Below are 24,518 nucleotides of genomic sequence, written 5' to 3'. Positions count from 1 at the left end.
GGATTACAGGTGCCCACCACCACGCCCAGCTACTTTTTGTATTTTTAGTAGAGACGGGGTTTCACCATGTTGGCCAGGCTGGTCTCGAACTCCTGACCTCAGGTGATCCGCCCGTCTCAGCCTACCAAAGTGCTGGGATTACAGGCATGAACCACCGTGACAGGCCCAAAAGCAGATTAGAATTATAAACTGTTTTTCCCTGGCCTGTGGAGATGCCTGCCACCTACTGACCAAACTAAAATGAAACCATGACCTGCCAAGATGGAGGCAAATGCTCTCTTGTTTAGGGGCATTCTGCAGCAGTGGGCTGCTGCCCCATCCTCATCTCCTGGCTCACTGGGGTAGAATGGTGGGGCGAATCTGCTTGTCTCAAATACTCACATATCTGACAAGGGCTGTAAGTGTGGTGTACATTTTGCACAAGTCCTTTAACAAGGTGTCCACACAGCTGCCTGATGGCAGAGCTGTCTGCACCAGCTCGTGGAAAAATGTAAGCAGAGTTCCCAGTTGCATGATGATAGCTTTCTCAACAGGCTGATTTGGTAGGGTTGCCTGAGAAGAGGCCTCTTCTAAAGGGAAATAAAATTGGCACATTCAAACCCAACTTCGTTTTCTAATTAAGAGTAAAGGAGATTTAGAAATTGATTACTACTAACTAGAAAGTCTTTATGGAAAAACGAACATTCAATATGCAGAGTGAATTAATCGTGCTGTGATAAGACATATGATCTTCTACTTCTTTCATCACATAGGAAAAAATCTAGCTTAAAGGCAAATAAGAAATTTAGCTCAGGGGCTCCATTTTTATGCACCGACCCAATATGAATTTTGACCTTGCTCATGTCAATTCCTGGAATCCCAGTTGAACTTATCTTACCTGATAAGGTTTCTTGGCTCACTTGTCCCTTAAGCTTGGTGATTAGCCAGTCCACTTCTTCTAGAACCTTCTCGGCCTGACTCAGAACAAGTAACTGAAAGAAAAGAGTGCCTGGTGTGATTCACTACACACAGCTGTGGGGGTAATATAATAACTGTGGTCACCTGGCCACCTACAGGTGGGTTACAGGCCTCAGGACACAAGCCGCTATAGGACACAAGTCACTTCACATGGAGTAGAATGGAAAGAATGACAAAGCTATTCCCCATGGCTCAGGTACAACACTTACACAGACAGTGGGGGCAGCCGTTCTCAAATTCACTATTGCAAAGTGGTTTGTTTTCTCCACCTCTACATCCTGGGGAAAAGAAGAGAGGTGAGACCTAATGACAGTAAGGTTGTTCCCTTGACCCCCATCCCCACACAGGGTATTGTACTGAAGGCTCATTATAGTACCTGGTCTATATCTCCCAGATGCCCGTGGATATCCTGGGACAAGTCACGCAGCAGAATGACAGGACTCTTATACGAAACATGCAGGCTGAAGAGCAAGTTCATCAAGCTCTTGCAAAACAAGGCATCCTCTAGGAATAGGAAGAAAAGCAAATTAAAAGGTAAGTTGTGGCCAAGTGCAGTGGCTCACGCCTGTAATCCCAGCACTTTGGGAGGCCAAGGCGGGTGGATCACCTGAGGTCAGGAATTCAAGACCAGCCTCACCAACATGGAGAAACCCCGTCTCTACTAAAAATATAAAATTAGCCGGGCATGGTGGCGCATGCCTGTAATCCCAGCTACTTGGGAGGCTGAGGCACGAGAATTGCTTGAACCCAGGAGGCGGAGGCTGCGGTCAGCCAAGACCGTGCCATTGCATTCCTGCCTGGGCAACAAGAGTGAAACTCTGTCTCAAAAAAAAAAAAAAAAGTTAAGTTATAACCCAGTCAGGTCCCTCAGGTATGTGTACAGGGTGTGTGGGGTGGAGTGCCTAACCAGAACAGGAGGTAGCTTGTCGTGTCTCAGGCACAACATCCCAGTGTTACACATACTACAGCCAAGCAGCTAGTCTGCAATGATGCCTCTTTATCCACATGCCCAAAGAAGGCAGACATTTCCCATCATTAGTTAAGATTACTGTGTAACTAGCATCCAGATCAAGTACATTACGAGTATTCTAGGGACTCCCTCCTAACTTGCCCCGCCAAGGAAACTGCTATCCTGACTTCTAACATCACAGATAAATTTTGTCTAATTTTGAACTTCATCTAAACGGAATTCTACAGTAAGTACCCTTTCTTGTGTCTGGCTTCTTTTGTTTTACAGTACATTTGTGAGATCCTCTCCAAGTTGTGTGTACATGTAGTTTGTTCATGCTTATTTGCTGTATAGGATTCCACTGTGTGAATATATCATAATTCTTTTATCCTTTCTACTGCTGATGAACACTTAGGTTTGTTTTACCTACTAAAATAGTGCTGCTAAGAGAATTCTTCCACATTTTTCTGTTGTGATTCGAATTGTTGAGTCATAGGCATATGTTTAATTTTAGTAGATATTGCTGAACAGTTTTCCATAGTGGTTATACCAATTTCTACCTCCACCCCCAGTGAATGAAAGGTCCAACTACTCTACATTCTTGCCAACAATTCGACTTGGTATTAGGTGTCTGTTTCATTTTGGCCACTCTGGTGAATGTGTAATGAATGGGGAATACCTTTTCTTTTCCAAATGCCACTGGAGGATAGTGATTTTATATAAAGCCTTTAGGAAAACATGGCAGTAAACTTACCCCGGCTGTTTTCCTTGCAAATCTTTGATGTCCAGGATAACATCTGCACAAACTAAATTAGAGATCATTCAGATATTAAAGAAACATGCCAGAGATAGACCTAGGTGTTGTCAGAACAGAAGAGTTCTAGACCTTTCCATATCTAAGCAAATCAGCTGCCAAAACATGTCCTTAGATCTCAAGTGGTAATATATGATGAAGGGCATAAAAATAAGTCCAAAATTCTAAGAATTATGAGAATAATATATAATTTAATTCTCAATGTCTATGTCCTTACTGAGGTCCAAAAGTTTTAGGGTCCTTACACCTGAACTTCCTCTGCTTCTACCATAGTGGTCTAGGGCTAAAGCGCCCTCTTTTCTTTCCCATGCCCCCAGACTCTCCACTTGAGGATATTAGGTTATCAGAAAGGTGTGGGAAAGAGAAAACCTAGCTATAAGAACAGTAGAATTAGCATTTAGAAGCCAAAAGAACAAAGGAGGTTAGAAGAGAGAAGGGCAGAAAAAAGAGAAATAAAAGAGGCAAGAAACCAGACAGCATTTTCTTAGCTAAGTGAAGGAGACTTAAGGTCTTCAGATAGCAAGCATCTGCATCACCAGACACACAGTCAACTTTCTGCTTCAGCAGTTCTTTCAGCTACAAAGGCACCGAAATGCCGTTATACTTAAGTGTAAATGACTAACAAAAATGCAGTTTTGATCTGTTGAGGAAAAGGTAAATTAAGAGGCTAACTGAAAGCTCTCTACAAACTGATATTAAAAGATCTTCAGAATACCGTGCTCAATGAAATAAGCAGGATGCAGAACAAGTTTTTGTGTGAAGAGGGGTAGGATTGGGAATAAAACTCTATATTTACTTGGAAGGGAATAAAGAAGGTTGAAGGACACAAAAAACTAAAGGTGTTTACTTATTTGGGGAGAGGAGGAACTGAACAGATGGAGGACATGGGTGGGGGACACCATTTACCATAAATCTCTTGATAATCTCTGGTTTTCAAATCATAGGACTTTATTACCCATTCAAAATTAAAATTAAAAATTTTTGGCCAGGCGCGGTGGCTCACACCTGTAATCCCAGCACTTTGGGAGGCCGAGGCGGGTGAATCACGAGGTCAGGAGATCGAGATCATCCTGGCTAACACGGTGAAACCCCGTCTCTATTAAAAATACAAAAAATTAGCCGGGTGTTGTGGCAGGCGCCTGTAGTCCCAGCTACTTGGGAGGCTGAGGCAGGAGAATGGCGTGAACCCGGAAGGCGGCGCCTGCAGTGAGCTGAGATGGCGCCACTACACTCCAGCCTGGGAGACAGAGCGAGACTCTGTCTCAAAAAAAAAAAAAATTTTTTTTTAAAGAGACTACCTGAAGTTAAGGGAGAAGGGGTAGGTGGTAAAACGTTTAAAAATCTAAAAGTTTAAAAGTTTAAAAAAGAAAAATTTTTAAATTTTCCTGAACATTTTAGCCTTCCTAAATCCATTTATTTTCTCTCAAATTTCCCCCTGCCCCAATTAGCTATTTCTTTCTCAGTCCTTTCCTCTTTGCAGCAAAAACAGCAGTATGAAAGAACGATGATGAGAGCAAAGTGGGGGTGAGCTGTTTGGAACTGGGATGAAGTAACCAAAGGGACTTTCTTTGGGCAAACCTGGAAGTAGGACGACAGGAAGCAGCTCTGCTTTCTAGTGCCCAAACGCCTTCATACTCCCAGGCTACAGTCTTCTGAGGCAAGGGCTCACATAAAGAGGAGTATACCGCAGGGCTTCATTGTCTTTCTCAAGCCCAGGAAGTAGATGTGGTAGGAGCACACAGTCCTGGGCTCCTGAAGGTACTCTATCATCCTACAGGAAAATTACTCCTGAATGGTACAGACCCCCAACAAGTGGTCCTTCTCTTATTCTTCTGTGTGTGAACGCTCATGTGGGTACACAGCTCTACATCTACGTGTGCACACTTACACAAACATACATACAACCTATCTCTGCAGAGGTGTTTCTGCTTTGGGACTATAGTTACACTTTCTGAATTAATCATCTTTGGTTGAATTTCCTCCAAAGTCAGTACCAGGTAACTGTGCTGAGAAAGTCAACTGCTGAATGTCAACTGCCTTCTTCATAATTAACAAATTTTCTTCTTAGAAAAGAAGTAAACACCAAGAGTGGCAAAGAACACAGGTTTAAGAAGGTTGAAGGCACCAAAGATCAACACAGGATTCTTTCTGTGGTGTTTCACTCTACCCTGAACAAACAAAACAAAAGCAGTATGTTCTTGCCCTGTATGGCTGCATGTAAGTATGCTGTGGTAGACGCATTACACAGGAAAGAATACATCTTATAGGTCTTATATTAACTCAGGTGTATAATTAAACACATTATGTAAAATAAGCTCAATTTCAAGAGGACATTTAGATATACACTTTTATGATGCAATAATCCTTGCCTTCTGAGGAATGCTAAATGGGATTAAGTTAGCGGTACTAGTACCTGAGGAGAGGAGGGCTCCAGTAACTTGGACAAACTGGTAAGAACCGTGACTAGCAGGAGGGCTTCTTTGCTATTAAAATCTTCCTCTTGACTGCTAAGTAAATTCAACAAGGACCTCTGAGAAAGGAAGGCACACACAGCAAGCAATGTTAGCAGACACGTTCCTATCAGGAAGAAGAGGCATCTAGTCAGAGACTCCTAAGACTAGGACAGAAAGAATTCAAAGCTACCAAAATTCTAAGAGGATAAAATCTGAAAATACACCTGAATTGAGCAGTAGTTTCCTAAGCTGTTTTTGACCATAAACCTCTCTGAGAATGCTCCTGAAAACTGACTCTTTCCGTTCCAACCCCATGCAAAATGTAGATAATGAACTATGTACCCAATTTCTGGTGGCTCACAGCTCCCTGGAGCCTATCCATTGATCTCAGGCTTAGACAAGGCACCAAACCCAGCAATGCTTATATACCTTCCCTGTTACCTGAAATAACTATGTATTTGATTATTTGTCAGTGTCTTTCTACTATAATGTAAGCTCCATAAGGATAGGAATATTTTGTCTCTTTTGTTCCCTGCTACATCCCCAGCACCTAGAACTGTTTCTGGCACATGGTAGGAACTTCAGAATTACTTGTTAAATAAAAAACTCCTGTGATAGAACATCCTGATATTTTGACAACTATTGGTTAGAAACTAACAAACTTTATTGTCCAGTGTTTACGTTGTCTGTCAGACCAAGCCAAATTATACCACAGACTCAGAAAACAAAAACACAGACTCTATGCCTTGAAGACTCCTTTCTGTTTACATCAACTCAAACAGTGGTCCTTAGAAGTAATGAGTATTGCAGGTTGGGGTGGCTAAATACCTATCCTCACTAGGGTCCTTTTAAATACATTATCTTCCATTCTGAGAGCTATGTCCTGTTGCCTGTATGACCCAGAAAAAATTCTTCTCCTACTTGGTCACTGTCTGCCCATTCTTACCAGCTGCCCCTGCTAACAGTTCCTTTGCAAAGCCTCTCAGGCCAGTACAGCAGCTTTGCAAGGCTTCTCACCTGAAATTGCCGGATCTGGAATGCTGTTCTCTGAGTGACACTGACATCTGCATCTTCTCTCTCTTCTCCTTCCTTATCTGTGACATCTAGGAATGGAAAAGAAACTCTTGTCTTCTTTGATATAAACTCATACTTTTTGGCCTTTTAATAGCTAAAATTTTTGAAAGCCAAAAAAAAGTCTAAAGGCAGACTTAAATTTCTAAAATTTTGTGATTTCTTAATACTATATTCCATTTTCCAGCCACTCTTTGTGGTTGAATGTAATCCAGTAGGTACCAATCCTGAATCCACTAGATGTCACTCCTTAGCAACATTAGGACTGTTCTCAAGTGTCTTCTGGTAGGTTAACAAATGGAATTAAGGGGTTGAGCTAAGGAGAAACCTAAATCAAGCCTATTTATTGATACTGCAATGCTTACCCAGAGCTCTGAGAAACTGCTGAATCTTGGGCTGATAGAACTGTTGCACAGCACTGAATATTTTCTGTAAACCCTCCAAGCACAGCAGTGAGATGCTCTTTCCTTTCTCTTTCTTTCCCGACTCTTCCACTGAAGTAGGAATTGAAGTGTATCTCCATAGCAAGACTCTGAAGCAGGAGAAAGTGGTATTGTTTTTAAAGACAGGTTCACCGAGATAAAATAACAAACAGTAAAATTCTTACCCTGTAGGTGAACAGTTCTAGAAGTTTAAAAAAACTTACATGGTTGTGTAATCTCCCCACAATCAAGGTATTTCTATCACTCTAAAAGTTCCCTTGTGCTCACTGATAGTCAATTCTCTCCTCCCATTTCCAAGCAACTACTGATCTAATTTCTGTCCCTATGGTTTTACTTTCTACGAAACATCATACAAAAATGGTTATCATTCAGTATATAGCCTTCTGAGTCTGCCTTTAACACAGCAGACTCTATATTCATCAGGGATATTGCTATGCAGTTTTCTTGCAATGGTCTGGGTCTGGTTTGGTATCAGGGTAATGCTGACCTCATTAATTAAATGAGGTGGAATATGTTCTCTCCTATTTCCTGGAAGAATTTGCACAGAATTTACATTACTTCTCCCTTAAATGTTTGGATGAATTTACCACGGAATAGACCTAGATCTTAAGTTTTGTGAAAAAAGTTTGAACCACAAATTCAATTTCTTTGAATAGAGATAAGATTACTCAGGTTTTTTTGAATAGAGATAAGATTACTCAGGTTTTTTTTTTTTTTTTGAGACAGAGTCTCACTCTGTCACCCAGGCTGGAGTGCAGTGGGGTGATCTCACTGCAAACTCACACCTCCCAGATTCAAGTGGTCTTCCTGCCTCAGCTTCCTGAGTAGCTGGGACTACAAGTGCATACCACCACGCCCAGCTAATTTTTGTATTTTTTTTAGTAGAGCTGGGGTTTCACCATGTTGGCCAGACTGGTCTTGAACTGCTGACCTCAGGTGATCCACCTGCTTCGGCCTCCCAAAAGTGCTGGGATTACAGATGTGAGCTACCACGCCCGGCCAGGTTGCCTATTTTTTGTTGAGTGAGCTTTCAAGAAATCTGTCCATTAAACTTAAAAGTTTACTGGCATAAAATCGTTAATATTCTATTATCTATTTTTTAGCATCTGTAGGATCAGTAGTGATGTCCCTTCTTCCTCAATTCTGCAATTTGTAATGTGTCTTCTCTTTTCCTGATTAGTCTGGCTAAAGTTCATTAAATTTATTGATCTTCTCAAAGAACCAGCTTTCTTTTAATGTTTTCTATTTTAATTTTCTGCTTCTTCATAGTTGTGCTTTTGTCTATTTCCTTCCTTCTGATTACTTTCATTATAATTTGCTCTTCTTTTTCTATTTTCTTAATGTGGAAGTTTATATGGGAGATCTGAGATTTTTAAATCACTAACTGCTTTAATTTCCTCAATAGCACTTTGGCTGGATCATATCTTTTGACATGTTGTCTGTTTGTTTCCATTCTATTCAAGATGTTTTCTAATTTCCCTGACGACTTTTTGACTATGGGCTATTTAAAAATGCATTTAATTTCTAATATATGGGGATTATCTAGATATCTTTCTGTTACTGCTTTCTTCTTTAATTCTGTTTGGTCAGAGAATTTCTACTTTTTTTTAATTTGCTGAGTTTTATGGCCCAAAATATGGCTCATCTTGGTGAATACACCATGTGCACCTAAAAAGAAGTGTGTATTTTGAAGGTGCTGTGGAGTGTTCTTATAAGTGTCAATTAAATCAAGCTGGGTGACAGTGTTGTTCACTTCTTCTACCTCCTTTCAGTAGATTTTCTATCTACTGGTTTTTTTTTGTTTTGTTTTCTGTTTTTTGACTATGGAGAGAGGGCTGATTACATTAATTAAGGATTTGTCTATTTTTCCTTCAGTTCCATCAGTTTTTGCTTTAAGTATTTTGAATCACTTAACCATTATGTAATATCCCTCTTTTTTTCCCCAATAATAGCATAACATTTTATATGTGACTAACAATCCATATCAAAGCAAGACTAGAAGCCCTGGGAACCCAAGAGCTCAAGGCCAGCCTGGGCAACACTGCAAACCCCATCTCTTTAAATGAAAAAAAAACAAAAACAAAAAAACAAACGAGCCCCCTCCCCCTCCCCCTCCCTCTCCCCACGGTCTCCCTCTCCCTCTCTTTCCACGGTCTCCCTCTGATGCCGAGCCAAAGCTGGACTGTACTGCTGCCATCTCGGCTCACTGCAACCTCCCTGCCTGATTCTCCTGCCTCAGCCTGCCGAGTGCCTGCAATTGCCGCCACACCTGACTGGTTTTCGTATTTTTTTGATGGAGACGGGGTTTCGCTGTGTTGGCCGGGTTGGTCTCCAGCTCCTAACCACGAGTGATCCGCCAGCCTCGGCCTCCCGAGGTGCCGGGATTGCAGACGGAGTCTCGTTCACTCAGTGCTCAATGGTGCCCAGGCTGGAGTGCAGTGGCGTGATCTCGGCTCGCTACAACCTCCACCTCCCAGCCGCCTGCCTTGGCCTCCCAAAGTGCCGAGATTGCAGCCTCTGCCCAGCCGCCACCCCGTCTGGGAAGTGAGGAGCGTCTCTGCCCGGCCGCAATCCCATCTAGGAGGTGAGGAGCGCCTCTTCCCGGCCGCCATCCCATCTGGGAAGTGAGGAGCGTCTCTGCCTGGCCGCCCATCGCCTGAGATGTGGGGAGCGCCTCTGCCCCGCCGCCCCGTCTGGGATGTGAGGAGCACCTCTGCCCGGCCGCCCCGTCTGAGAAGTGAGGAGCCCTGCCGCCCGGCAGCCGCCCCGTCTGAGAAGTGAGGAGCCCCTCCGCCCGGCAGCCACCCCGTCTGGGAAGTGAGGAGCGTCTCCACCCGGCAGCCACCCCGTCCAGGAGGGAGGTGGGGGTCAGCCCCCGCCAGGCCAGCCGCCCCGTCCGGGAGGGAGGTGGGGGGGGTCAGCCCCCCGCCCGGCCAGCCGCCCCGTCCGGGAGGGAGGTGGGGGGGTCAGCCCCCCGCCCGGCCAGCCGCCCCGTCCGGGAGGTGAGGGGCCCCTACTGGGAAGTGAGGAGCCCCTCTGCCCGGCCAGCCGCCCCGTCCGGGAGGGAGGTGGGGGGGTCAGCCCCCCACCTGGCCAGCCGCCCCGTCTGGGAGGTGAGGGGCCCCTACTGGGAAGTGAGGAGCCCCTCTGCCCAGCCACCACCCCGTCTGGGAGGTGTACCCAACAGCTCATTGAGAACGGGCCACGATGACAATGGCGGTTTTGTGGAATAGAAAGGGGGGAAAGGTGGGGAAAAGATTGAGAAATCGGATGGTTGCCATGTCTATGTAGAAAGAAGTAGACATGGGAGACTTTTCATTTTGTTCTGTACTAAGAAAAATTCTTCTGCCTTGGGATCCTGTTGATCTGTGACCTTACCCGCAACCCCGTGCTCTCTGAAACATGTGCTGTGTCCACTCAGGGTTAAATGGAAAAACAAAAACAAAAACAAAAACAAAACAAAACAAAAAAAACGAAAAAACAAAAGCCACAGTGGCTCAGGCCTGTAATCCCAGCACTTTGGGAGGCTGAGATGGGCGTATCGCTTGAGCCCAGGAGTTCAAGACCAGCCTGGGCAATATGGTGAAATCCTATCTCTACAGAAAATTAAAAAAAAAAAAATAAGGGCCAGGTGCAGTGGCTCACGCCTGTAAACCCAGCACTTTGGGAGGCCAGGGTGGTGGATCACCTGAGGTCAGGAGTTCGAGACCAGCCTGGCCAACATGGTGAAACCCTGTCTCTACTAAAAATACAAAAATTAGCAGGGCATGGTGGTGCCCTGTAATCCCAGCTACTTGGGAGACTGAGGCAGGAGGATCACTTGAACCGGGGAGGCCGAGGTTGCAGTAAGCCAAGATCACGCCACTGCACTCTAGCCTGGGTGACAGAGCAAGACCCTGTCTCCAAAAAAAGTAGTAAATAAAATAAACTAAAATTAAAAATTAAAAAGTAGTTGGGCATGGTGGTGTGCACCTGTAGTCCCAGCTACTCAGAAAGCTGCAGTGGAAGGACTGCTTGAACCTCGGAGGAAGGGGTTGTAGTGAGCCGAGATTGCACCACGGCATTCCACCCTGGGCAATAGAGCGAGACTCTCTCAAAAAAAGCCAAAAAAAAAGCCAAAACAACAACAACAACAAAAAAAAAAAGGTGGGGGGGGCGCCAGGGGAAGGCAAGACTAGAAAAAAGACCCTATGTCAATGACTGCACTTTTTTTCACTCTTTTAAGATGGAGTTTCGCTCTTGTTGCCCAGGCTAGAGTGCAATGGCACAATCTAGGCTCACTGCAACCTCCGCCTCCCAGGTTCGAGCAATTCTCCTGCCTCAGCCTCCCGAGTAGCTGGTATGACAGGCATGTGCCACCATGCCAGGCTAATTTTTGTATTTTTAGTAGAGATAGGGTTTCTCCATGTTGGTCAGACTGGTCTCGAACTCCCAACCTCAGGTAATCCACCCGGCTCAGCCTCCCAAAGTGCTGGGATTACAGGCATGAGCTGCCATGTCTGGCTTTTTTTTTTTTTTTTTTCTTTTGAGAGTCTTGCCCTGTCACCCAGGCTAGAGTGCAGTGGTATGAACTCAGCTCACTGCGACCTCCACCTCCTGGTTCAAGTGATTCTCTTGCCTCAGCTTCCTGAGTAGCTGGGATTACAAGTGCCTGCCACCTGGCTAATGTTTTATATTCTTTCACTCCTAAAATATGTCCAACCTCAAATTACCTTCATCCTCTGTTCCCAGTTTGTTCTCTTGGAGACACCACAGCCAAGTGGAATAAGTTTCTAAGGGGTGGGAGTGGCTTACCGAGTTATGTCACAGAGGTTCTGAAAGATCTTTTCTGGGTTTTGGCCATCAGGGCCACTCACATGCCCTGTTTCCTTTAGCTGCTGTACTTTCTGCAGAGCTACATTCACTGCATAGCGCATAAACTCATTGCTGGACCTGAGAACAGAAAGGCTTTCTTGGTGGCTTTGGATACTATCCCTAGAGAGAGACAGAGAGAGAGAAAGAAAAAGGAAGATTCCCTTACTGCTATTGGTATATGGAATTAAGCTTTCTAGAAATTGTTCAGAACAGCAGCACCCAACAGAGCTTGCCAGTAAGTTCCGACTGGCAGACTCTCTAGGCAGCCCAAGCTATAGTCACTGCTATGGCTGCCCTTTTATAATCGTTATTCTTAGTGGTTCCTCATTTTCTCTCCCTCCCCAAATCCTTTACTTTGATAAAATTTAAATGTCAGTCTTAGTCTTTTAGGTTTTTTTTTGTCCCTTTGTATTTTTAATTCAGTCACCCCCCCTACCTTTTTATTTATTTAGGCAGAATTTTGTTCTTGTTGCCCAGGCTGGAGTGCAATGGCATGATCTCGGCTCACTGCAACCTCTGCCTCCTGGGTTCAAGTGAGTCTCCTGCCTCGGCCTCCCAAGTAGCCGGGACTACAGGTGCGCACCACCATGCCCGGCTAATTTTGTATTTTTAGTAGAGATGAGGTCGCACCATATCGGTCATGGCTGATCTTGAACTTTTGACCTCAGGTGATCCACCCACCTCAGTCTACCAAAGTACTGGGATTACAGGAGTGAGGCACCATGCCTGGCACCCCCTACCTTTTTATATCTGTTATCTTGTACAAGCTACTTACATAGATTTTCTTAAAACACCCTGCTGGAATTCATCCCTATCTTTTCATTTATTGGCCCACTGTTTCTCATTTGTCCTTTAATAATTCAAGGTACCTACTTAAAGTACCTACCTAGGATTGTCCAGCTTTTATTTCAAGAAAAATAAAACCTCCTGACTTATTTCTTACTGTAAACAATCCAAACGAGGTGAAACAAGTGAGCCTAGGTAGGTATACGATCCTCAGGGAGTGGCTGTCTTTAAGCACTCTAGCAGAACCTTACCTGAAAAGAGCAGTGAGAAGACTGGACACAAATTTCATGGACAAAAGACTATCACTTGTCTTGTTGGCCATTTTAGTTTTGGCTTTACCCGCTTTTTCATTAAGAATGTCAGAGAGTTTTTTGTAACACATAAATAAGCTCAGAATGTCCTCAAACCTATTCTTACTGTAAAAAACAAAAAAGAGACCGCTAAGGACAAACATCAGAATATTGTGGTTTACTTTTACATATGATAATAATCACAATGCTTCTTTAAATGTCATATTTTAGACGTAACATTATAAATGAATAGAACTTCATTAATATAATACTCCCAGGTCACAGCAATCTATCTGGGTTTTGTTTCCCCTGGTGTGACCTTGGCTCACTGCAACCTCCGCCTCCCAGGCTCAAGTGATTCCCCTGCCTCAGCCTCCCGAGTAGCTAGGACTACAGGTCCCAGGCACTAACACCTGGCTAAGTTTTACATTATTAGTAGAGATGGGGTTTCACCATGTTGGCCAGGCTGGTCTTGAACTCCTGACCTCAAGTGATACACCCAGCTTGGCCTCCCAAAGTTCTGGGATTACAGGCGTGAGCCACCGCACCTGGCCTCCCCTCCCTTATTTATACCAGTCCCTGCAGAGTATTAAAGTCCAATACTACCACCAATCAAAATTTCCATGTTAAAATTAGGAGTTCTTGAATTCAGGGTCTGGGAAATTCTGAGTAAGTGAAACCCTGCTGGAAGGCTTTCATTTTATAGGCCTGGTAAGCATATACTTCAGCGCTCTCTAGTGGAAAGAACACAGTTTAGTCTTAGACTAGGTGCTCATTTAAGAGACAGTGTCATCGTCTGTGGTCTGTTTACTGCCTAGAATACTGCTACAGTAAAAATATGTAAATAAAATGGAGAATTCATCAAATTACAAATGGAGTTATAGCAAAACCTTACCTGAAACTACTTATGGAGAAATTGTATTCTATTAAAACCTCACAAACTCCCATCACAAGAAAAGCACAGATATTATTTTTTATGCCAATACTGGTGCTCTGAGAAAAATCTGCTGATTTATCCTAAAAGACACAAGATAAAAATTAACAAGCTACTAAAGAACTCCATCATTCAATACAGCTGAGGACTTAGCAATTACCAGTTCAAAGTCTTCCAGCTCACTCTTAATCATTCTATTAGTAATGGACTCCAATATATCATCTAGGTCTTCGTAGAATGCCTCTTCCTCCTCCTCTTCCTCCTCTCCCTGCTGTAAGGGTATGACTGTATTCTTATACCAGGCCAAACAATGCTGAATACAACACAGCAGATAATCCTGTAGGAGAAAATAAGTAAATTAAATACTCTTGAGTGTTGATGGATAACTTATAAAGTTGTTCATAACCAGCAAATAATTCTTATCTATAAGGCTAAAGAAAATGATTCATTGGCGTTACAAATTAAGTCCATCTAAATTAACAAAACTGGGAAAATTAATTGAACAGCAGCATCCTTTTCTAATGCTTCCCCCCGAAAATTGGCCTAAGTGGCTGACACCTCAAAATGCAACATTAGATGTGCTATCTCTGGTCTGATAAATAACCCTGGAGCTAGGTGGTGAAGTTAAATCTTCTCTAGTTCATTTGAGTCCCAGAGGCTATTCTAAAGATAGAGGTTTATGTTGAGGGAATCTTTAGGAGACCAACACAGCATCTTAGATCTAGGCTGAGGACATCTCATGTCACAGAAGGCACAAAAATGAAGGCAAGATATGACAACTGAAAGACTTCCTCCTTTCTTCTGCCATGAGTTATAAGTCACTTGGGGTGGGAGTTTCCATTTTTATCCTCTTCGCTGTCCTTCTGAGGCTAGATAAGAACAGAAAGTCAACCAGGCCTAGCTCCTCTGAAGGTTCAACAGTGCCAATCCTAGTTCAGCCTAAATCATATACTTCCTCTAGACTAATGAAGCAGGTCCCCTAGGTTCATCTGTTCGTAGGTGACATCATCCCTCTCCCCATTCTAAAGTACATTTATTTAGTGAATGTAATCAAAGATTCATAAATGAGATAAAATATTCTCTGGGGGAAGTGATGGAAGCCTTGATTTAGTAAAGGGCTAACATGGAGATAACTTACCAATAGATCCAAAATGATAATGGTTCAGAAATGATAAGCAGGGAAGACTTAAAAGTAAACATTCATTGGAAGAACCAGGAAGAGAGTTTCACAGGGAAAGGTATCTCTTTGCAAAGTTCAACCCTATCCTTAATACTAAAAATAATGGTTGAAGGAAGAATAAAAGTCTCACCAGTGGTTCTTGTAGAGAGATCTTATCTCCTTGGGTCAGAATACAAGCTTCTAATTTCAGAGGAGGCAGCAGATCAGGTTTTGGCTCATAGAACTGTTTTAACTGTGTATAGTAAGAAAAAAAAGACATCTTGGCTCATAAATGCTTTTTACTTTTTTAACTTCTCAGGTGAAAGGTATCTTTAATGTCTAATGCCTTCTAACACACATTTCCCAACTGTTCAAAGAACAATGCAGCCAAGTTTTTATTTCTTTGGCTCACCCACATCCTGTGCTCTTGCTTTGGATATTGTACAGATTAGGATCATCTTTCCTATTCCAATTCCTTCTATTCCTAAACTTGTACATGCAATCAACATTTTCAGTTAACTTGGAGGTTAAAAATACAGGATCCAGAGTCAGACTGGCTGAGTCCAAGATCCCAGTACCACTACTTATTACTGGTTTTTATAAAAGTATCTGTACCGTGATTCCTCATCTTAAAAATGAGGATATTATTAATAATCATTGTATAAGGATTAAACATGACAATACATGTAAAGTACTTCAAACAGTATTTGGCATATAAGACAGCCAAAAAAAATATGAGTTATTATTTTTCTCCTTTTAACTTTTGGAGTCTGCAGAATTTTACTGTCCTGCATATTAACCTGAGTCAGAAAGCGCTATTCTATGCCTTCAAACATAATTTTCTATTTTTGTTAAACGTGTGAATGTAGATGTGTTGATTACAGTTTGAAAGATACAATATAGCTGACAGAATATAAATTTTATATAGGATCAAGCCTAAGGCCAGATGAAAAGCTTTTGATGGACAGTATGGGAACTTCCAATAATTTCACACATCTGAGACCTTAATTTTAAATGAAATTTCATAACTATCACAAAGCAATGGCATTGAGAGACAGCAAACAAAATGATAGACTAGGGGTCTAAAGGAACCCTCCTGGTAGAGAGTCTCTATATGAATTCTTCTAGTCTTGAAGATTAGAAGAATTTAATCTTCTAATTTAAAAATTTGTTAACTGAAAAGTGCAGAAAGGAATGTAAAAGACATCCATGTATCCATTACCCAGATTTAAGAAATAATATTTTGCTATATTTGTTTTGGATTTCTTTTTTCTTTCAGAAATATAACATAATGGATACAGTTGCAATGGTCCTTATATAAATGGTTCTTCAAAATGTCCTTCTGACTTAGGATACAGACTGTTAATTCACAAGGATAACTGCTAGATGATGGTATTATGGCAGACAGGTAAGTGGTGACCGAGATAAGACAACCCAGAACAGCATAACATACCCACAGCATGTTCACAAAGTACTAATGTACTAGTTGGGAATTATTTTATATTTTGAAAGGTCTGAAAACCATCAACTGTCTCTCGATCCTTGATGGTCTGTTTTCCATATATCCATAAAAATGTATTTTACCTGTGAGAGCAGAGTTTGCATGACTGAATTAGCCAGCTGAGAGTTCCTTCGAAGAACATCATAAAACCCCTAAGAGGAATCAAAGAGAAGAAATAAGCACTTTAACAGAGATACTAGTGATCTGGACAATCATAACTTAAAAATAACACTTTCTTTATCCTCTTCTCAGTTTTTTCCTATTGAGACCATATTTGACAGTCCTAAATGCCCTAATATAAATGACCATATTTTTTTCCCACCCAAAATGTCCTAGTCTTAGTTAAGAACTGCTCAGAGTAAAATCCTGGGGAAGCCAGGTGAAGTAACTCACACCTGTAATCCCAGCACTGTGGGAGGCTGAGACAGGCAGATCACTTGAGGCCAAGAGCTCGAGACCAGCCTGGCCAACACAGCAAAACCCTGTCTCTACTAAAAAATACAAAAATTAGCCAGGTGTGGTGGCACATGCCTGTAATCACAGCTACTCGGGAGGCTGAGGTATGAAGGTTGCAGTGAGCTGAGATCACACCAGTGCACTCCAGCCTGGGCAATAGAGCAAAACTCTGTCTTAAAAAAAAAAAAAATCCTGGGGAGAACTTTCATTCTGGAACCTGGAAAAGAGGTTATACAGTTCATCTGTGAGTAAAAGCAAATGAGAATTGATCAAAAAAATTTTTTTGTTTAAAGAAAAGAAACAGGCCAGACACGGTGGCTCATGCCTGTAATCCCAGCACTTTGGAAGGCCAAGGCAGGAGGGATCACCTGAGGTCAGGAAGTCGAGACCAGCCTGGTCAACATGGTGAAACCCCATCTCTACTAAAAATATAAAAATTAGCCAGGCATGGTGATGCACGCCTGTGATCCCAGCTACTTGGGAGGCTGAGGCAGGAGAATCGCTTAAACTGGGGATGGGGAGGTTGTGGTGAGCTGAGACCCGAGACCGCACCACTGCATTCCAGTCTGGGCAACAGAGTGAGACTCCATCGGAAAGGAAAGGAAAACGGAAAAAGGGGAAAGGGGAAAGGAACGGAACAAAGGAAAATTAATCCTAACAGCAATTAAAATATTTTATGAATGTGTAATAATAATAAAAAGACACTTTGTCTTGGCACAAAAATCTACAGGCAAAATTTTAAAATGGCATACAGAGATACATAGTACACATTAAGGAGGCAATGATGTCTGAACAAATGGTTAGCTTGGGGGAAAAGCTCCTCATATATATTATCATACAAATTCAGGATGAATTAAGTAGCTAAACGTCAAAAACAAATGCATAAAAAAAAAAACCTCAAAGAAAATGTTAGTGAATATTCATTGGAAGGATTTGGACTTTCTACAGATAAAATAATAATAAAGATGGGCCGGGCACGGTAGCTCATGCTTTTAATCCCAGCACTTTGGAAGACTGAGGCAGGAGGATCGCTTGAAGCCAGGGCATTTGAGACCATCCTGGGCAACAAAGTGAGACCCTGTCTCTACAAAAGGTTAAAAAAAAAAACAAACAGAAAAATTAGCTGGGTGCAGTGGCTTGTGCCTATGGTCCCAATCGTTTGGGGATGGGGCTGAGGCAAGAGGATTATTTGAGCCTAGGAGCTGGAGGCTGCAGTGAGTTAGACTGCACTAGTGCACTCCAGCCTGGATAACAGAGGAAGACTCTGTCTCTTAAAAAAAAAAAAAAAGTAATAGAAGACATCTCAGAGGAAGAAAATCAATAGATTTAGTAACCAAAAATTATTATTTAAGTGTAAAAGGATCATATTAAAAAAAAAGCAAATGGCAATCTGGCATACACTTGCAACAAATATGACAAGTTTTATCACTACATAAGGTATTTTTATATACCAATGATATACTAAGACTGATGAATAAATGAACAGCAATATTCTAATAGGTTTAAGTCTATGATCCACTTCATGTTAATTTTTTTTACTTTAGAGCTAAATAAGGGTGAAGATTTTTTTTGGGGGGGAAGGGGCATATCAAGGACTGCACAAGAGTTAACACATGAAGTCTAAGACTGCCTATCCTTAGTGCACCTTTGCCAGCTGGTGGCTGAGAATTTAGCTGGTAAACAGTTACTTACACTGACACAAAGCTCACCCTAAAGAAGAGTGGCTCACTGTGCCTTAACTGTTTAAACAATGTGGTTTATACAGAATATGGGCGTACCTAATTTTATTGCAAGTTGCTTGATTGCACTTCGCAGATATTACGTTTACAAATTAAAGGTTTGTGGCAACCCTACATCAAGCAAGTCTCTCAGTACCATTTTTCCAAAAGCATGTGCTCACTGCATGTCTCTGTGTCACATTTTGGTAATTCTCATAATATTTCAAACTTTCTCTTTATTATTGTATGTGTTATGGGGATCTATGATAAATGATCTTTGACATTACTATTGCAATTGGTTTGAAGAGTCACGAATTGTGTCTATATAAGATAGTGAACTTAATTGATAAATGCTGTGTATGTTCTGACTGGTTCCACTGACTGGGCCATCATCCCATCTCTCCACCTCTCCTCAGGCCTCCCTATTCACTGAGACAAAACAATATTGAAATTAGGTCAATTAATAACCCCTACAATGACCTATAAGTATTCAAGTGAAAGGAAGAGTCGCACGTCTCTCACTTTAAATCAAAAGCTAGAAATGATCCAGTTTAGTAAGGCATGTTACAAGCTGAGGCAAGTCAAAAGCTAGGCTTCTTGCACCAAAGAGCCAAGTTGTGAATGCAAAGAAAATGCTCTTAAAGGAAATTTAAAGTGCTATTCCAGTGAACATATGAATGATTAGAAAGCAAAACAGCCTTATTGCTGATGTGAAGAAAGTTTTAGTGGTCTGGTAAAAGACCAAGCCAGCCACAACATTCCCTTAAGTCAAAGCCTAATCCAGAGCAAGGACCAAACTCTTCAATTCTATAAAGCCTGAAAGAGATGAGGAAGCTGCCAAAGAAAAGCTGAAGCGAGCAGAGGTTGGTTCATGAGGTTTAAGGAAAGAAGCCATCTCCATAACATAAAAGTGCAAGGGGCTGGGCGCAGTGGCTCACGCCTGTAATCCCAGCACTTTAGGAGGCCGAGGCGGGCAGATCACGAGGTCAAGAGATTGAGACCATCCTGGCCAACATGGTGAAACCCCAGTCTCTACTAAAAATACAAAAATTAGCTGGGTATGGTGGCGTGAGCCTATAGTCCCAGCTACTTGGGAGGCTGAGGCAGGAGAATCACTTGAACCTGGGTGGCGGAGGTTGCAGTGAGCCGAGATTGTGCCACTGCACTACAGCCTTGTGACAGAGTGAGACTCAAAAAAAAAAAAAAAAAAAAAGTGCAAGGTGAAGCAGCAAATGCTGATGGAGAAGCTGAGGCAAATTATCCAGAAGATATAGCTAACATAATTGATCGAGGTGGTTATATTAAACAACAGATTTTCAATGTAGATGAAATAGCCTTATATTGGAAGAAGACTTTATCTGGGACTTGCCTAGCTAGGGAGGAGAAGTCAATGCCTGGCTTCAAAGGACAGGCTGACTGTCTTGTTAGGGGTTAATGTAGCTGCTGACTTTAAGTTGAAATCAATGCTCATTTACTATTCCAAAAATCCTAGGGCCCTTAAGAATTATGCTACATCTACTCTGCCTGTGCTTTATAAATGGAAAAGCAAAGCCTGCATGATAACACATCTGTTTATAGCATGGTTTGCTGAATATTTTAAGCCCACTGTTGAGACCTACTGCTCAGAAAAAAAAAGATTCTTCTCAAAATATTACTGCTCATTGATAGTGCACCTAGGCATCTAAGAGCTCTGATGGAAATGTACAGAAAGATGAATGTTGTTTTCACATATGCTACCACAATATCCTCTGGGTGAGTTATATGCTAATCACAAGTCAGTAGTTGTATTTCTCTTAGCTGTACTGTCATAATAACTAGTGATTTAATCAGACGTTCAGTAAACTGTTGAAAACCCAGTGCAAAAAGAAAAAGAAGTTGCTTTTATAAAAACTAAGTTAGGCCAGGCATGGTGGCTCACGCCTGTAATCCCAATACTTTGGGATGCCGAGACAGGTGGATCACTTGAGGCCAGGAGTACAAGACCAGCCTGGCCAACATGGTGAAATCCCATCTCTACTAAAAATACAAAAATCAGCTGGGCATGGTGGTGCATGGCTGTAATCCCAGGTACTTGGGAGGTTGAGAAGCAGGAGAACTGCTTGAACCCAGGAGATGGAGGATGGAGGCTGCAGTGAACCGAGATTGTGCCACTGCACTCCAGCCTGGGTGACAGAGCGAGACTCTGTCCCAAAGAAAAAAAAAAACTAAGTTTGGAACAATGTTTGGAAAGTCAGTCTCTCAAACCAATTTCTGATAAATTAGAGGTAACACAATTGTAAAAAGAGAAAAAACTGAAGCTATCTAAAAGATTTTTGTGCTAAACTGTATCTGAGGTAGCTTAAAGTTTTCATACCACTTTAGGTAAACACAAATTTGAAACTATAGGCAATAAATTAAGGGTATGGGTTTGTATGAGAGGCAGGAAGTAAACTTGTAATCATTAACAAAGCAAAAAAAAGGACTTAGTCTTAAGACTGGCAAATTTATAGTATATTTAAATATTTCAAATTAAAATAAAATATTTAAGGTCTATCAACTGTGTTTTATGATTTCTCACCTTAAAAAAATTTTTTTGAGAGACAAGGTCTCACTGTTGCCTGGGTTGGAGGGCAGTGGTGTGATCATAGCTCACTGCAGCCTCACTGCTGGGATCCTCCTGCCTCAGCCTCCTGAGTAGCTGGGACCACGGGCGCATGCCACCACACCCAGCTAATGTTTTTTATTTTCTTATTTTTTGTAAAGACAGAGTCTTGCTTGATCCTCCTGCCTTGGCCTCACAAGGTGTTGGGATTACAGGTGTGAGCCACTGTGCCCTGCCTTAAACAACTTTTTGACTAAACATCACTAGCTACTGGTGCTGACTACATCAAGTAAGAGCATAGCTATTGTACTTTTATAATCAGGAAAAAAATTACTAAAATAAAAATTATTAGTTGGGGTTTTGCTACATTCTTTCCATTCTACGGACTTACCTCATAAAGCATGAGTCGAACATCAGCTTGCTGGCTTAAGCATCTCCTCAAACTATCCATGATCTCAAGGCAAAAAGTTTCATTGGCGACAGAATTGTAATGGCTGTGAACATCCACATGAACCTGAAAGGAAGACAGGCCAATTCACGTCTATCTTACCAAAGCTGTTTCCAATAAGGAGCTAAATGAGCCTATGTTCTTGGTCGAAAAAACTTAGCTTCCTCCACATGCCAAACCCCAGGGGTGAGACACACAGTATAATCATTACCATGCAGTAGTAAGTGTCACTCTTATTCTGGTTTGGAATAAGAGAATTTTTAAGCATTTTAACAAAATTAACTGTTCATATTCCTTAAGGTTTCCTTGACAATATCAATTGCTTAGGAAGGTACACTGCTTATTTCAAGCCACTAGAATCCAGTAGTAACAATATACATAATTTTATTTAAAAGGTCTAAGACTTCTTCAATAGCTAGAAGAATCTCACTATTCCACAAATTCTAGAAAGGTTGAGAGGAAGACAGTCTTTTGTTTAGAAATGGACATGACAAAGAACTGACATCCTTTGTGTAAATTACATAATAAAATCAGCAATTATAGACCAAGAATTCCTAATCCTTACTCCAGGCATCACAGTAATGTAGTTCATACTGCCTGAGGCCAAATCCTTCTTCCACCCTTTCTTGGTTATATAACCTTGGGCAAGTTATTTAACCTGGCTCAGCCTCAGTTTCCCTGTCTTTAAAATGGGGATAATAACACACAAATGATATCTAGTGTTCCTAATATTTAATCTATGCTATATGTTATAGACAAAGCTTTATGTAGTTATACCAAAGCAATAAAGTGAGGATTCCTAGTCAAACTGTTATATATAAATGTCTCCTATTTATAAATCTTATAGTACATCATTTAAATTATGAAGACAATTTTATTGCTCCAAAGCCTAGATTACCAGATTATTATAAAAAGTTTTGTTTTCCCAGATTACAAGGTGTAATATATGTTCCTGTGCAAAGTAAATACAATGACGTAAGAAAATGGGATAATAATAGTATCTAGCCTCAGAGGACTGCTGTGAAGATTAAATGAGATAATAAATGTAAAGCATTTTGGCACAATATCTAGCACCGTGCTATCCAAAAGAAATATAATATGGGCCGGGTGTGGTGGTTCACGCCTGTAATCCCAGCACTTTGGGAGGCCGAGGCGGGTGGATCACGAGGTCAGGAGATCGAGACCTCCTGACTAACACAATGAAACCCCATCTCTACTAAAAATACAAAAAATTAGCCAGGCACGGTAGCAGGCGCCTGTAGTCCCAGCTACTCGGGAGGCTGAGGCAGGAGAATGGCGTGAACCCGGGAGGCAGAGCTTGCAGTGAGTTGCAGTGAGCCGAGATCGCGCCACTGCACTCCAGCCTGGGTGACAGACTGACTCCGTCTCAAAAAAAAAAAAAGAAAGAAATATAATATGAACCACAAATGCAAGCCATGTATGTAATTTTATATTTTCTAGTAGCCACATTAAAAAAGAGAAAGAGATAAAGTCAAATTTTAATGTTTTCTGTAACCCAACACATACAAAATTCTCTCTGAAGATGTAATCAATATTAAAAATTATTAGATTTTTACATTCTTTTATTTCAAAATCTGGTATGAATTTTGCATGTATAGCACAACACAATGTGGACTAGCCACATTTCAATCAAATGTTCCATTCAATAGCCACACTGAGGACAGTGGCTACCATACTGGATAGCACAGTTTAGCATACAGTAAATCTGCCATTAATGAGTGTTAGCCAATATCATCATCATCATCATCATCAGCACCATCATCATCATCAGACTCTTTAGTTCTAGGATCATTCTTACAACCATAACAGGAATAAAAGAAAACAGCGTGCATTTCATCGATGCACATGAATGATACGCACACACTGCAAGTTAACGTAAATAATCCTTACCTGACTGACACTGAGAGACTGACTGCACTGAGAGGATGACAGGCTGCCTAAAACTTTAAAGTTCTTCAGGAGCAGCAAAAACCCAGCAACTGCAGATTTTCGGGCATCAAGCTGGCTAGCTCAGAAATAGAGAAGTTAACAAACAGTACTATTTCACAGGAATATGCTTCTGGGTCAGAAAAATCCAGCTAGTTGCATACAGAGAAGGCATATGTATAAACAATGAAGCGTAGAGCAAAACAAAGTGAATTTATGTACTCAAAATAAGGTATCAGCTGTTCAAAGCAATTTATAGTACAGAAATTCAACTGACTTTTTTCAATACTTAACTCATGATACTCTACTTCCTTCTATCCTGCTCTCAAGTCTATGTGAGGAATAAGAAGACTGCTGAGAGACTGTAAAATTGGCTGGTTACTCAAATGTAAGAAATTGCTGATTTTGCCATGTTTGAAGGAGTGCTTCCCTTCATATGCTCTCTTTCATCATAGGATAATGTAATATTTGATGCCATGTAAACTGTCCATCCAGAAAATGTCACACTTGTCTTCTCACTGAGGCGCAATGATTAATTCATGTTAAAGATGTTACAACGTAATATCTCAGTCTATTCGCTATGCCTTTGGGTGAGGAGTAACAAAAACTTTTAATTCTAGAACAAAGATAATAGCATATGGCTTAGTTGTTCCTCTGGACACCCATGAATATATTATAATATGGCCAATGTGATATTAATTGGGCATCTTATCCTCAAAGTACCAAATGCTTTTCACATATTACTGTCTTATATTTTTAGGAGATGGCAAGATCATCTCTAGCTTATATACTAAGAAATAAAGGAAGAGATGTTAGGAGGGACTGGCTAAGCTACAAATAAAACTCATTCCCCTCAACAATTAATTTGATCTACTAGCCTCTAGATCATAATTCAGATGTTCACTAAAATGAGATTCTTAAGTATAATCTTCTTGACTAAGGTACTTTCCCCTTTGGAACTGCTGCCAGCTCAGGTTTCAGAGTATTTGACACTAGAACATTACCCTGAAGATTATTCTAATGTAGTAGAGCAAAGTACTTGACATCACAAGCTCTGATGTTAGACCTGACTTTGAATCCTTGCTCCACCACCAACTACTGTTTTACTTTTGGAAAGTCACTCATCTTCTCTAAGCCTAACTTTTCTTATCTGTAAA

General features: G+C 41.4%; 1 protein-coding gene and 1 long non-coding RNA gene across 52 annotated transcripts in view, besides 1 other annotated feature; one reads left to right on the top strand and one right to left on the bottom strand.

Moving 5' to 3' along the window:
* Positions 1 to 24,518, bottom strand: part of FANCI (FA complementation group I) — a 73,281-nt gene that overhangs the window by 10,684 nt on the left and 38,079 nt on the right. For 17 of the 51 annotated variants that reach the window (XM_047432789.1, XM_047432798.1, XM_047432800.1 and 14 more), the window contains 16 exons: positions 23,326 to 23,440; positions 21,358 to 21,480; positions 16,295 to 16,363; positions 14,862 to 14,963; positions 13,712 to 13,888; positions 13,513 to 13,634; positions 12,579 to 12,743; positions 11,482 to 11,661; positions 6,610 to 6,776; positions 6,191 to 6,276; positions 5,134 to 5,250; positions 2,661 to 2,712; positions 1,334 to 1,461; positions 1,167 to 1,235; positions 878 to 971; positions 382 to 569 (listed from right to left, as the gene is read on the bottom strand). In XM_047432789.1, coding sequence (XP_047288745.1) covers positions 382 to 569; positions 878 to 971; positions 1,167 to 1,235; positions 1,334 to 1,461; positions 2,661 to 2,712; positions 5,134 to 5,250; positions 6,191 to 6,276; positions 6,610 to 6,776; positions 11,482 to 11,661; positions 12,579 to 12,743; positions 13,513 to 13,634; positions 13,712 to 13,888; positions 14,862 to 14,963; positions 16,295 to 16,363; positions 21,358 to 21,480; positions 23,326 to 23,440 — 1,954 coding nt within the window. The remainder of the gene's footprint in view (positions 1 to 381; positions 570 to 877; positions 972 to 1,166; positions 1,236 to 1,333; positions 1,462 to 2,660; positions 2,713 to 5,133; positions 5,251 to 6,190; positions 6,277 to 6,609; positions 6,777 to 11,481; positions 11,662 to 12,578; positions 12,744 to 13,512; positions 13,635 to 13,711; positions 13,889 to 14,861; positions 14,964 to 16,294; positions 16,364 to 21,357; positions 21,481 to 23,325; positions 23,441 to 24,518) is intronic. The other 34 variants (XM_047432815.1, XM_047432819.1, XM_047432814.1 and 31 more) reach the window with 3 other exon arrangements.
* Positions 1,191 to 1,418: a silencer, noted in NCBI's record as "fragment chr15:89848389-89848616 (GRCh37/hg19 assembly coordinates)". NCBI's record gives its function as "represses an EF-1alpha promoter that drives an FKBP-Casp9 reporter gene in an ReSE screen in HepG2 liver carcinoma cells {active_cell/tissue: HepG2}" and the evidence as "EXISTENCE:reporter gene assay evidence [ECO:0000049][PMID:32094911]".
* Positions 1,406 to 5,801, top strand: LOC124903548 (uncharacterized). Its single transcript, XR_007064749.1, has 2 exons — positions 1,406 to 1,491; positions 4,789 to 5,801. It is a non-coding gene; the product is annotated as an uncharacterized LOC124903548 (long non-coding RNA).

This window comes from Homo sapiens, chromosome 15 (genome assembly GCF_000001405.40).
Source record: "Homo sapiens chromosome 15, GRCh38.p14 Primary Assembly".
NCBI lineage: Eukaryota > Metazoa > Chordata > Mammalia > Primates > Hominidae > Homo > Homo sapiens.
This window is presented reverse-complemented; position numbering and strand designations above follow the sequence as displayed.